The sequence below is a fragment of the Homo sapiens genome, chromosome 10 (genome assembly GCF_000001405.40).
Source record: "Homo sapiens chromosome 10, GRCh38.p14 Primary Assembly".
Taxonomy (NCBI): Eukaryota; Metazoa; Chordata; class Mammalia; order Primates; family Hominidae; genus Homo; species Homo sapiens.
The window spans coordinates 121,457,462-121,471,543 of NC_000010.11; the positions used below are offsets into that span (position 1 = coordinate 121,457,462).

The 14,082-nt window shown below is 49.2% G+C and overlaps 1 annotated feature.

The window, feature by feature from the left end:
* Positions 1,345 to 2,334: an enhancer, noted in NCBI's record as "H3K27ac-H3K4me1 hESC enhancer chr10:123218320-123219309 (GRCh37/hg19 assembly coordinates)". NCBI's record gives its function as "activates a minimal SCP1, AML or CMV promoter by ChIP-STARR-seq in primed H9 embryonic stem cells {active_cell/tissue: H9 hESC(primed)}" and the evidence as "EXISTENCE:reporter gene assay evidence [ECO:0000049][PMID:30033119]".

Here is a 14,082-nt window from a genome sequence, read left to right on the forward strand (position 1 = left end):
CAAACTCTATCACTGGCCCCGGACACTTTCTATCTGCAGAGAAAGGACTCCTGGGACAGGGCAAGTCTTCCCCAGGAGAGGTGTGGGTAGGCTCTTTGAGCTGGGACTTGGAGAATTAGAATGAGGGTTAGGACAGGTGTAAAGGAAGGTAATGGAGCCACTGGCCAGGAGAAGCAGCCAAGGCCCAGGTGGGAAAGCTGTTACTAGGGAATTTTTACATTCTTCATTCTTAAAAACTTTGGCCAAGCCGAGAAGATGAGAACACATGTGATCCCAGAAAGCACTGTAAACATGCCCACCCTTACCCCACCCTGCAGACTCGTCACCAGTAACCCAGCTCCCAGCAACCCCCCAAAGGGGAAGCAAAAAGAAATAGGGTCTGACCTGAGACCTCAGCATATACCTGCACACACATACAGATGCAAGAGCTTGGGTCCACCTGAAACCAGAGAGGGAAACTGGCACCTGCCCAAGTCCCTGCAGCAAACCCTTCGCCTGCAGCCTGTTTCTGCAGCTGTTTCCTTGTTTCTTCCCAATTAGCTGTAAACCCCCTGAGAGTAGGCAGTGGGTTTCATGAGTCCTGGTATGCCCATAGAGCTGTGCACATAGTAGGTGCTTAATAAACGGCAGTTGGTAGCTGTGCACACAGTAGGTACTTAATAAATTGCAGTTGGTACATAATAAATGGTAGCTGGAAGGGAAGCTGCCCAGAGCAGTGGCTGGAGAAGACCCTGAGTCGGTGGGTGGCACACCCTTGGGCAGGTCAGAAAGTCTGGAGACCCCTCCCCATTCGGTCATCAATTGATCATGGAAGCTTGGGTACTGCCTGACTCTCTTCAGCCTCAGTTTCCCTCTCTAAAGTAAAACAGTTGGCTTGGGTCATCTATAAGACCCAGCTCAGCTCAGACTCGTGAGATTTCTTGGTCTTTCTTTATTCCACTTCATCCCAGGGGCATCTCTTGGCGGACCAAGGAAGAGTAGCTAGTTCAGCTCCCATTCATTATCTGCCAGCATTTTCTGCCCCAGAGGTTCAAAATTTGGGGAGCCAGTAACGGAGTTGTCATAATTGGTGAGAATAGCTCCCCATGGCTGGCCCTGCGGATCCCACAGGCTGCAGATTAGCAAAGCTGGGAACTGCAGAGGCCAGGATCCTAAGCCTGGGGTGGGTGGTGAGGGGCTATATTCTGAAGGAGAGGCCCCAGCTCTATGCGGTTTTCATTTATCAGCCTCGTTATCACAACTGGCCCGTCACTCAAAGCCACCTTTCAGAATGACCAGTCAGTCTACAACAGAGCAATGTCTTCAGGTCTGCTGCAATTACAAATGCATCTCTGGTTCTTAGATGTAAGAGAGAGGAAAGTCTCACCCCACAGCCAGAGGATGGGAGAACTTCTAGCTTTTCCACCCAACACCCGGTATCATGCACATTTCAGGCTTTCTGGCCACTCAACACAACACCCATTCTCCTCCCTCTTTCTGTTAGTAACAACATCCTGATTTCTTCCTGGGGAATGGCCTCTTTCCCACTTTGATACAGTCTGATGGGATCGTCATTCAAGACACCTGCCCTCCCAAAGACAGGAGATGGGCGCCAGACCCCAGCAGAGCCCACTGCACCTGCTCTCCCTGGAATCGGGATCGTGAGCAGAGAGACAACAGCAGGGGACATGGCTGAGGCCTCTGTTCCATGACCAGCACTGTCAGAGACCTTCCATCAGCTCTGCCAAGAAACCCTCAGAGCTCCTGGGCTCTCATCCTTTGTGCCCCGCTCCTCTCCTGCTTTCTCTCTGATTCTCAAGCTGCCCCCTCATTTTCAACTTCCTATCCTGTTACCCACAACAAAAAGCCCTGACTGATTCATCTTCCAAATCCCAGGGTGTGGTGGTGTAAAGAACACACACCTCCAGTCACCTTGGGGTAGCAGAGCACACCCCGTGCCTCTTCCCAAGAACCAGGCCCACCACGGGGCATAGCCACGGGCAGGACCCAAGCTCCCATCTCACTCACTTCTCAGCCGCTCAGCCTTAGGCTCGGGATGTCTCCGAATCTCAGTTTCCTCACCTTTAAAATGGGAAAAAGTTTGCATACCTGTTGGGACTGGGTAACAACTGGTGTGGGTTAATAAACTGCAGAGAGTGCCTAGCTCAGCACTGGAAACCTGCGGTGTGCTCAAGAATGGCAGGAGGGTGTTGCTGTTGCCCTTCTGATTCGAAATCCTCCTTGCTTCTCATCCATTAACCCCAGGATATATTGAGAAATGCAATCGGCTTCTTCCTGACTCAGGGCACTGAAATCACCACGTTGCTTTTGGGTTGCCCAAAACACTGTGTCGCCAAGAAAAGCCTTTCAAAGCCCCTTTCGGGAAGGGATTTTTTTCGAACTTGAAACAAGAAGGAGTCATTTGCCAAAGTGAAATAGCACATAAACCTTAGAACCCACAGATTTGAGTGAATTCTAATCTTGGCCAAAACTGGCAGGAGTGAGGGGGTGTTGGGGAGGGAGGATGAGTCAGAGATTCCACCCTTCAGAGGGGGCAGCCTAATATGGCATTGGGGAGCCACAGGAGACGACTTAGGTATGCCTGGACTTTCAGACTGGAGCCACGGCTCTGGCCAGGAACCAGCTGTGTCCCCCCACACACCTCCCCCCCCAAAAAAAAACAAACCTACCCTCACATATGCATGGAGCAGAGCCTCGGGGTGGCAACCCAAACTGAGTGTTCAGATCCATCAGCAGGAACCAGCTGAGAGACTAGCAGCTTGCCCCCAGGAATGATAGCAACCAGCCTTCTCCTGGTATGCCCTGGTTCTTGGGCCAAACATGGACCTGTCCCTGCAGACACTGTGTGGTCCTCGCTGACTCCAAATTCTCCTAAATGCAGCCTCCGTGGAGCCTGTGATACGGCACATGAGCCTGGGAGTAAGAGGGAGGCTTCGCCCGGTGTAACCTCAGAGCACGTGTCGTTTATTTTTAGGCCTGGAGTAAAGGGCCTGGGTAAGGGAGGAACTTCAAAAGGTGAGATTTCTGTCATTGGAATAGTTTTACAATGTAATGAAAACAAAGAGATGGCTCTTAGAGGGTGTGGGTGGAAGCAAAGCCAAGTTCTAGCCCTGCAGTGGCTCTCCCCAGCTGTGTGGCTTTGGGCAAGTCTTTGCACCTGTTTTTTATCTGTAAACTGAAGAGAGAATTGGTTCTCAAACTTGAGTGCTCATCAGAATCATCTGGAAAGCTCGTTTCCTGGGCCCTGGCACAGAAATTCTGATTCAGAGGATCTGGGGCAAGAACTAAGAATTTGCATTTCTAACAAGCCTTCAGGGCTATAGGATCCAGGGGTACATTCCATGGGGAACAGTCTCACTCATTGTCCTGTATCCCCAGGAAAAAGTCCTCTGATTGGACTGACTTAGGGTACATGCCCATTTCCGACCAGGCCAGAGCCTGGTCATTGGCCTGGCCCAGGTACTGGCTCCATCCCTGGAGCCAGGAGATGAATCAGCTTCCCCCTAACCAGTTGAATCACCAAAACAGGGAGTCTGGATTAGGAAAGAGTAAGGGAGGAATTATGCTAGAGAGACAAGCAGCAAGTGCCTGTCTCAGTGGCAGAGCGGCACCTGAGCCAGGTGAGGCTCGCTCCTCCAGGCCCTGTCTCTAGCAAGCCTGGCCAATTTCCACGTAGACCCTCTGTTTGAGATGTCAACTCTGGGTGTTGTTTGCTGAACTTACGCTCCTGTGAAAGGAATTTGGGAAGAGACCTAGTTCAGGTCCCTGTCTCCAGGGAAGGTAGTACCTAAACCGTTCCAGGCAGATGAATTCCAACCAAATCTTCTAGGAAGGAGGTAATTACCTGGGTTCTCCTGAGTGGTGTTCCTGAGGGAACTTCAGCAACACCGTGTCATTCATCTATATCCCTGTGCTCTGTAGCAAATGTACAGACAACTATAACTCATTCTTGCGTGAAGTCTATTTCTGACCTCAAAGCAACTCCCAGGTAATGAAAGTGATGAGATGATGATGATGATGATGACAATGATGATGATGAAGGGGCTAATGTGTCCCTTCCTTTTCCTCTGACGCCTTGACCTTCCCTATTAGGGGTTTGTTCAGATCAGGATTTCATGTTATAAATGATTTGCTCAGAAAGGCAGACCAGCAGTTTATCAACCTTCCTACCCAAGCTCCCTGTGGATCACCCAGACCTACGAGCCGAGGAGATGAAGACCACAGACATCTAGTTTTTGGTCCATAGTCTGAGATGCAAAACTCAGGGCCAGGAATGGATCTTGAGTTTAAGGCCCTACTATGACTCTTGCCTCAAATCTACCCATAAATTATCTGGGCACTTGGGACTCATTTACTGGGAAACAGAATAATGTGAGGATTCAGCCACCAGCAGGCTCTGTGCTCAGATGGCCTGAATTCAGTCCAGGCTATGTGACCTTGGATAACTCACATTACCTTTCTGTGCCTCTGTTTTCTCGGGAGCAAATCAAATTCTAAGCGTGCTTATACTACAAACGTGGTTGTAAAAATTAAAATATGTAAAGCACTTGAAATACCGCCCGGTGCGTGACAAGCCCTTTATAAATATTAGGTATGATTATTCAGGCATTATTGAATTCGTCAGACATTAATGAAGCATCCTCTGGCGTTGAGTCACCGTATTAGGGGACAGAAATTCATAGCAATAAAGATCTGAAAATTTGCCTTCACAGTGTTCATAGTCTAGGAGAAGATAAGACCCAAAGAAAGATAAACCACAATACATCATGATATATGCTGTCACTGAGATTTGAATAAAGTGCTGACTCTATCTGGAAGTGACCAGGAAGGCCTTCCAAGGGACATGATGTTAGACCTGGGCCTTGAATGAGTTTGCCAATGAAAACTGTCTGAGGGAAGCCACTCTAGATATAGAGAACAGAATGCTTGTGTCACGAAAGGGCCTGCAAGTCCACGGAGCGATGGTTTCAGAGCAACAGGAGCATAAGTTTCCTGAGGAGGGAGTGGCGTATATCAGGCCCTGGTAAGGTGGTTAGAACATGATGCTGCAGACTTTGGACTTTATCTGCAAGCCGCAGGAGCCAACAGAAGTTTTTAAGCAAGAGAATGGGATGGGATGAAATACGACTTTTTTAGGACTATAATGGGTTGGTAGCAGGGTAAAGGGTGGCCTGGATGGGAGAGACTGGTACAGCTGGGCCGGTGAGGAAGCTGAGCCCAGGCAAGAGATGAAGGCTTGGGAAATGAGAAGGAGAATGGATTCAGGATACTCTAGTCAGGACAATGGACAGAAAGTGGTGGCTCACCGGATATTAGAGAGGAGAGGAAGGGAGGAGTCCAGGCCGAGTCTAGAGTCTCTGGCTTGGGAGGCTGCGTGGACGGTCTTGACTAAGTTAGGGAACATGGGAAGAGGCACAGACTTGGGCAGGTGGACACGGATGGAGCAAATGGGTGTGTATTTGGTAAGTTCAGTTTGCATTACAGAAGTAGGCCACCCCTTCACACTTAAAATGTCCAGCCATTCTTGGAAAAAAGTGAATAGATTATGCACGGTAGATTTTCAAAATTTTTCCTGAGAGTAATCATATCAGGCAAAAAAGCTCTGTTTTCCAATAATTAAATCCAGATAATTTTAAAAACCTGTGACTGCCAGGCAAGGATCAAAACAAGAGTAACAAGCAAAACACTGCTGTAAATGCAAACCTCTCTTAATTGCATTACATAATTGAATCATGCCCACTTAATTTTGTCCACTAACATAAATTAACACACTTAAGAGACATCCACATGAAGATTCTGCCAAGGCCCCATGTCAGTCTGTACCCCAGCCGAGAATGATGGACAAAGTTCCCTTTTATGCAACACTCTCCTCAGAAAAAGAGAGAAAGAGAGAGAGAGAGAAAATACCTATTTTAACCATGGAAATAAATATAGGAGATGATGGCTTTAAAATTAAAGGTTGAGAAAATGTCATACAGCAAAATCCCAAACCCCAAACGTGGTCTAGTAAGCCACAAACCACATATATTTGCACTTCAAGAGTGAAAGATCTTTTGAAAGAGTCCTTGAAATAAAGATTCCCAGGTTCTACTGGGGAAGGACCAATTTTCATCCAAAACACATCTTTATGGCTGGGTTTGAAAGCCCAGGAAAGTGTTCCTAATGGAAATGCTGACCAGCCTCTCCACATACCACACCAGCAAGATCTCAGCCCCTTAAGAAAATAAGACTTTCCTTTGCAACTAGGTCAACTGGGAAAGAAAGTAATTTTTTTTTCTGGAAAGTTTGCGTTTTCAAATGGACGCTAGGAAAATAACTCCATTATGGAATGGGATGTCTTATTGCCTTCAATTTTACCCAAAGCCCAGTTAACTGGTTTCGAGAATCAGAAAGTAGCAAAACAGGAATCACCTGTGGTCCAGATGTGTCGTCTGTGAGATGGGGAGAATTAATGATGCCAGGCAACCAGCTCTACTCAGGAGTCAAGGGCACGAGTGTCCACACAGACCAGGCAGACACATCACAGAGTGAAACTGGCCAGGTGCGAGCTGACCAGGTGGCACTCAAGTGCCCCGTCTAAAATGAACAAATGCTAATTCCCTCTAGGGACTATGGCCATGCGGCAGAGGGAGCCAATGTCGCCAACATCTGCATTTCTATGAAGAGCACTTGAAATATGCATGCTTCTGTGAAGTCTTCTGAATTTTAACATGGAGAACCAATTCCAAAATATTTTAGCCATAACACAGGCCAAACAAAGCACAGCTCACTGGCACCATTTGAGATCTGAGCTCTGCTGCCTCTAAACATCATCAAGGCAGAATTTCAACAGGTCAAGGGAAGGAGAAAAAAGAAAGGACCCTTTCTTCGGGCAGCATCAGGAGACTGCAGTCGGGAGACATGGGTTCCTGTCCCAGCTCCTTTACCAACTCCTCTGCATGTCATCTGTGCGGCTGCCTGGCCCCTTCTCTGGGCCTCCATCCTTTCATCTGTGAAAAGGAGCAGGTCAAGGGGAACCGTAAGAGCTCACCCACCACAACCCAGGATTCTACACCCTCAGCCAATAGAACAACAAATGAGGAAGGGGTATTCTTTGGAAAGCAGAGGCAACCTGGAGCTACTGGTGAATTCAGGTGGGTAAAGCCTTCTCTACCACTCCACAGGGGTCAGGAGATTTTTTGTGAGGAATCTCTCCAGCCTCTGGAAGGAGAGAGAACTGGTAACATGCTGAAGCCACCCATGTGTTTGCATAGGCGTGGAAACGCCCAGCTCTATCCACAATTCTTATCCTCACCAGAAGCCTGACAGGCAGGGACACTTGTCAATACCTCTGTCTGCATTTTGGAAATTAGGAAATAGAGGCTCAGAAGGGGCAAGCATCTTACCCCAAGTTCACCCAGCAATTGGGAGGCCAAGAGGAGGCTAGGGAAACCAAGGCTGCTCTCTGTGAGGAAAAACCACCCATTTCTAGGCAATAAAAACCAAAATTCTGCAAGAAGATCAAGACTCTCTGTTAGAAATGGGCCATTCTCAGCATTTTCTCCTGTTCTGCCCCTTTTCTGACCCTCCAGAGGCACGTGAAGACGGCCATGGGTAGCTCTGCCTTTGACCTGACTTAACAATGGCCACCTCATCCTGGACCACATTTCTGTTTTAAAGGACTTTCTTCCACCAAAAAGTCCACCCTCCTTCTACATAACTCAGTTGAAAACAAATTGGACTCATCTCCTGGAAAGGACGTGGGTTTTTTCCTTTCTCTTTGACGGCATTCTCTTTCAGAACCCCTGATGTGGGAAAGTCGGAAGGCTGTGGGTGTCTGGCATCTGTGGGTAGCAGGCCACCCTTATCTCTAGGACCTCCTGACATCAGTGGGGACAACAAACAGGTCTCCATCTCCAGAGAAATGCAGTTCCCCCGTCCCCTGAGAGAACAGCAGCTCCCTGACCGTGGGACATGTGCTTGGAGCAGCGGCAGCCAGGGGAGAGCCTCTCCTGCCCACGGCGTGCGTGCCGGGTCCCAGGACTCACGTCCTCGTGCTGAAGCCTAGATACGAATGGATGTGGGCAGAGCCATCTTCCTCGTGGCCCAGGGATGACGACTTCTTATTTACACACACTTGTGGTTTCTCTTTAGAACTCTATCACATTTTGCCTCTTTCTAGTCCTTTCCCAATGTTACCTGACAACAGCTGTGTCAGGGAGGCAGGGCCAGGGGGTTTAATACCACCCTAGGTTATAGAAGAGAAACTGAGGCTCAAAGGGACTAAGTGATTTGTCAGGGCCATCTGGAGGGTGAGAGCTGAGCCGGGTTTAAGTCCGGCTTCTGGCTTTCCCCTGGGTTGGGCTGCCTGGCCACCCGCTGCCCCTTCTCACCCTTACTTGAAGGCTGAGGGGATTCCCTGTGGTCTGAACAGTGAGGCCAGGAGGAGATGCTGGTGCTGGCTTTAAAGCCACTGGCTACTCAGAAGCCACCCCACTGGCTGGGGAAGAAAAGGGTCAATGCCCACAGTCTTGTAGTTCCCGTGGATGCTGTCTGGGGGCTGGACATGAGACCAGAGCAAAAGAGGGGAGGGAGGGAGGGAGGAAGGAAGGGAGGAAGGGAGGGAGGGAGGGAAGGAAGGAAGGAGGAGGGCTACTATGGACTGAATTGTGCCCCCCACCCCAAAATTCATATGTTGAAGTCCTAACCCCCTAATGTGACTAAGAGATGGAGTTAGGAGGTAATGAAGATTACAGGAGGTTATAAGAATGGGGTCCTGGTCTAATAGGATCGGTGGCCTGATAAGAAGAGGAAGAGAGTGGGAGATATCGCTTAATCTCTCCATGCCCTTGCACCAAGAAAATGCCAGGTGGGCACAGAGCGAGAGGGTGGCCATCTGCAAGCCAGGAAGAGGGCCTTCGGTAAGAACCCAACCATGCTGGTACCCTGATCTCGAACTTCCAGCCTCCAGAACTGTACGCGAATAAACGTGTTGTTTAAGGCACCCAGTCTGTGGTATTTTGTTATGGCAGCCAGAGCTAAGTCAAGGACAAACTCAGAAGAAGAGGGAGAAAGCATGGACCCACCTCACAGCGGCCAGCTACCACCCAGGGGGCATCATGCCATCCCACCCCCCCAGTTTCTCTGCCTAACACCATCCCCCTAAAATCTTTTTCCTCCTCAGGAAGCCACAAGGGATACTATTTCCATTCCATGGAGACGTGGGTTGAGGCCTGCCCCAGTGAGCTCAGACAATCATTTTTTCTTTAAAGAGTTCCCTTCACGTGGGCAGATGTGAAGGGAAGGGAAGTCTTTATGGAGTCTTTTTTTTTTTGAAACAGAATCTGCTCTGTAGCCCAGGCTAGAGTGCAGTGGCATGATCTCAGCTCACCGCAGCCCCTGCCTCCTGGGTTCAAGTGATCCTCCCACCTCAGCATCCCGAGTAGCTGGGATTATAGGCGAGCACCAACACACCTGGCTAATTGTTTTGTAATTTTAGGAGAGATGGGGTTCCACCATGTTGGCCAGGCTGGTCTCGAACTCCCGACCTTAGGTGATCTGTCCGCCTTGGCCTCCCAAAGTGCTGGGATTACCAGCGTGAGCCACCGCACCCAGCCTAAAGAGTCTTTTTTAAGAGTCTTCTCTTATTGTTCCCCTCCTGTGCAGGGCTTATTCCTATAGCTGTTGTCCACCCAAGAATGACCCTCAAGCCTTCCTCTGGCCTAGGTAAGCTCACTCACTTTCTGTCTCCTGTTCTAGCCTCCAGGAAGGTCAAGTGTGGGTCCCCACCTCCCTTGAAGCTCCCCCATCAGAGAGGGCCTGCTGGGCAGCTGTCAGGGTTACCAGTATTTAGATCCCCAGATCCAGAATCAGCTCACACAGATTTGCATCCCAGCTCTCCCATGTGGCAACCACATGATTGTGTAGGTGTTAACTGACCTCTCAGTGCCTATCTCACGCCACTGTTACGAGGATGAAATGAGAAAAAACGCTGGGAAGACGCACCCCAAGCAAGTTTCCTTCTCGGCAGGGTGAGGCAGGGAATGGGCCTGGCCTCTCTACACAGTCTCTGCCACCACAGCAGCCCCTTGGATAAAATATGTTACCTAGCAAATTCTTTCACGAGTACCAACCCTGTTCTCCACTAACCTGATTGTAAAATTCTTGGAGAGGGCCACCAAACCTCAAATCTCCAACCCTCCACTTCTGCAATGGGTTAAATAGTGGCCCCCAAAAGATATGCCCATGTCCTAACCACCGGAACTTTTAAACATGGCCTTTTTTGAAAACAGGGTCTTTGCAGATATAAATAAGTTAAGGATTTCAAGATGAGATCATCGTGTGTTACGTGGGTGTGCCCTAAATCCAATGACAAGCATCCTAAGAGACACACAGAGGACAGACAAACACCAAGAGGAGACGGTCATGTGAAGACAGAAACAGACTGGGGTGATGCAGTCACAAACCAAGGAACACTTGGCGCCACCAGAAGCCAGAAGAGGTAAAGAAATCCCCCCCAGAGCCTTCAGAAGGAGCATGGCCCTGCCGACACCTTGATCTCACACTTCTGGCCTCCAGAACTGTGACAGAATAAATTTCTGTTGTGTTAAGCCACCAAGTCTGTGGTAGTTTCTTAAAGCAGCCTTAGAAAACTAACAGAACACCCTTAGGGCTATTTCAAGGATGATTAATAACTAATATGACTTCCCATCTCCAGTGCAGTGCTGGGCCCATAGTACCTGTGACTTGCTGGCTTGCTGGGGAAGGCAGAATGAGGCCAGAAATTGTTCCAGAGGTCTCCCCAGACAGCAACTTCACACACTTGCTTTGGGCCAGGCTTAAAGAGCCAGCTCTGAAGGTGCCAGCCTCGTTTCTCCCCTCGTGATGCCAGCTCTACCCAAACAGCCTATTCTCCCCTGGAAACGGGGGGTGGCTACACATTTCTAGAATGTACCATGCCCCTTGGGTCAAAGCACCTGCCTCATGGGAGATAAGTTAACCACTCCACCCCAACTCCCTTCACACAAACTCTGACGGTGTTTCAGCTTTGGAGCTGCATCCATCAGCCAGGCACAACAAGCAGCCAACAGGCGAGGCATGACTGCTTAAAGGAGTGTGGGGGAGCAGGAAAATACGCATGTCCCTTCTTACCTGCAAGGATGGGGAGCAGGCACCCCTGGGGTGGCTACAACTTTGGTCTGGAAGATTGAGAGAAGGGCTTAGAAATGAAACTATTCGGGCTAACTAGACCTTTTGGAAGTGGCAGGCCAGGGTGAGGTAGCTTGGGGAGATTTTTAAACTCTACATTAGTCTGTTTTCACATTGCTATAAAGATATACCCGTGACTGGGTAATTTATAAAGAAAAGAGGCTTCATTGATTCACAGTTCCACATGGCGGGGGAGGTCTCAGGGAACTTACAGTCACGGCCAAAGTTGAAGAAGGCACATCTTACACCGTGGCAGGTGCGAGAGAGAATGTGTGTAGGAGGAACTGTCAAACACTTATAAAACCATCAGATGTCAGGAGAACTCACTCACCATCATAAGAACAGCATGGGGGAAACCACCCCCATGATCCAATCACCTCCTCCCCTCAACACGTAGGGATTACAGGTACCTCCCTCAACATGTGGGGATCACAATTCGTGATGAGATTTGGGTGGGGATACAGAGCCAAACCGTATCATACTCCAGCCTCCTAAATCAAATGAACAAAACTACTTGATTTACATTAAAGCAGTATGTTTGCTCTGCAAAACCAGCTCCCAGTCAACTCCCCAGTTCCTCAAACCCCGTTTCATGCCAACTTCAGACCCTTGACTAATTCTCTGAAGAAATTCTGGAACCATCCATGTTCCCCCACACCCCGCTCCCCCACTACCCTTCTTTCTTACTGGCTGCTGTGCTCTTCTGCAGCTGTAGGGATGATCTGGACTCCCCTCCTAAGCTGCTTTTGACGCATGTTGGAGATCTTAAATAACCAGAAGGCCCTACGTCGTGGGGCCACTAGAAGAATTCTGAATGTTTTTATTGTTCTTAAAAGCTGTGAAACCCTGGTCTACGACAGTGCATAGGCATGCACACACACACACAACCACAAATACCTGCCTGGCCCCTGGCCCAGGAGCCCCTTCTCAGGTTCTCCCTGGGTCTACAGGTGCCATGTAAGTCAGAGCAGCCCAACAATGCGGGCTCCAGCCTCGCCTGCTCCCTCCCTCCTGCCCAGTCTTTAAAAAGAGTCTACGCTTTCACCCTGGGGATCTGCCCAAGGCTTTGCTTCCCCAAAGAGGCTATGAACACCCAGGTTTCCACTATTAGGGGTCCCCCCTTCATCTGCATATCTCCTGCTCTTGACCACATTCACCTGCTTTCAGATCAGAAAAATAAGGGCTTAGTGCTTGATTTGCTTTCAGCTTCATTTAGAAGACAAGGGAAAAACTGAAAGCAGATCCAAGCATTTTTATTACCAGTCTCCAGTACCTGTACACATTTATTGCGTATGTAGATTTTTTTTCCCGGATCTGTTTACGTGGGGGGTGTTGCATGCTGATTTATGGGGCAAGTGGCTCTGTCATTTCAAGCCTTCAGCCATCACAGCTGTGGAGACGCTTTTTAAACTCCAGCTAATGGGAAGAAAAAGAAGTTTCAGTTACGTTGTGTCCAGGCAAACTAAGGCGGTTCCAACACTAGTCTGTCCTGGGATTGCCTTTGTGTTCAGAGTCTGACAAGGGTGCGTGCCTGTCATTGCATCCATGGAAAGCTTAATGCGTGCAAGGACACCGGGGTGATGGGAAAGAAAACCCGGGCAACAAGGTTGTGTAGAGGGCCACCCTGCCCCCTGAACTTGGTGTTCCAGCCTGAGCAAGGAATACAGTGTTACGGTACAGAGGTGCTCCCTCGCTGGAAGAGACCAGGTTTACTTCCTACCAAACAAGCAGCGTTCAAATCCGAATGTCAGCCTCTCACCTCCCTTCCTTCCGGAAGAACCGCATTGTTTATTTAGCCTTTGGTTTGTGGATCTCTGTGGCAAGCTTGTTAGGAAGAGCAGTGGGCATGTTGCTGCAGGGGCAAAACGGTGCCCAGAAGGCTGGTTTAGACACAGCGCGTTGGCCACTTACTGTCTCCAGACAATCTTAGAACATCCCACTTGGTCAAAGGGCAGTTTTCATGACTTTCATCCCCACCCTTAGTGGAGATCTCTCAAATGGACCCCAATTCTGTTTTTTGTTTTTGTTTTTTAGACGGAGTCTTGCTCTGTCACCAGGCTGGAGTGCAGTGGTGCCATCTCGGCTCACTGCAACCTCCGCTTCCCAGGTTCAAGTGATTCCCCTGCCTCAGCCTCCCAAGTAGCTGGGACTACAGGTGTGTGCCACCATGCCCGGCTAAATTTTTGTATTTTAGTAGAGATGGGGTTTCACCATGTTGGCCAGGATGGTCTTGATCTCCTGACCCCGTGTTCCGCCCACCTCAGCCTCCCAAAGTGCTGGGATTACAGGTGTGAGCCACCGCGCCTGGCTTTTTTTTTTTTTTTTTTTTTTTTTTTTAGAAAGAGTCTTGCTGTTTCACCAGGCTGGAGTACAGTGGCACGATCTCAGCTCACTGCAACCTCTGCCTCCCAGGTTCAAGAAATTCTCCCGCCTCAGCCTCCCGAGTAGGTGAGACTACAGGTGCGTGCCACCACACCTGGCTAATTTTTGTATTTTTAGTACAGACGGGATTTCACCATGTTGGCCAGGATTGTCTCGATCTCTTGACCTCGTGATCCACCCGTCTCAGTTTCCCAAAGTGCTAGAATTACAGGCATGAGCTACTGCACCCGGCCTCTTTCTTTTTTTTTTTTTTTCTTTTTTCTTTTTTTCTTTTTTTTTTGAGATGAGATTTCACTATGTTGCCCAGGGTGGCCTCAAATTCCTGGGCTCAAGCAATACTCCCTCATCAGCCTCTTCGGTAGCTGGGACTACAGGCCTGGACCACCACACCCAGTTTGGACCCCTATTTTTGAAAGCAACTCCCAGTTTCAGGCCCTTGTTATCTGCTATTGTCTTTCCCCACAAGGCATGGGAAGGATTCCACCTGCCTAGGTCTGGCAACCAACTAGCACA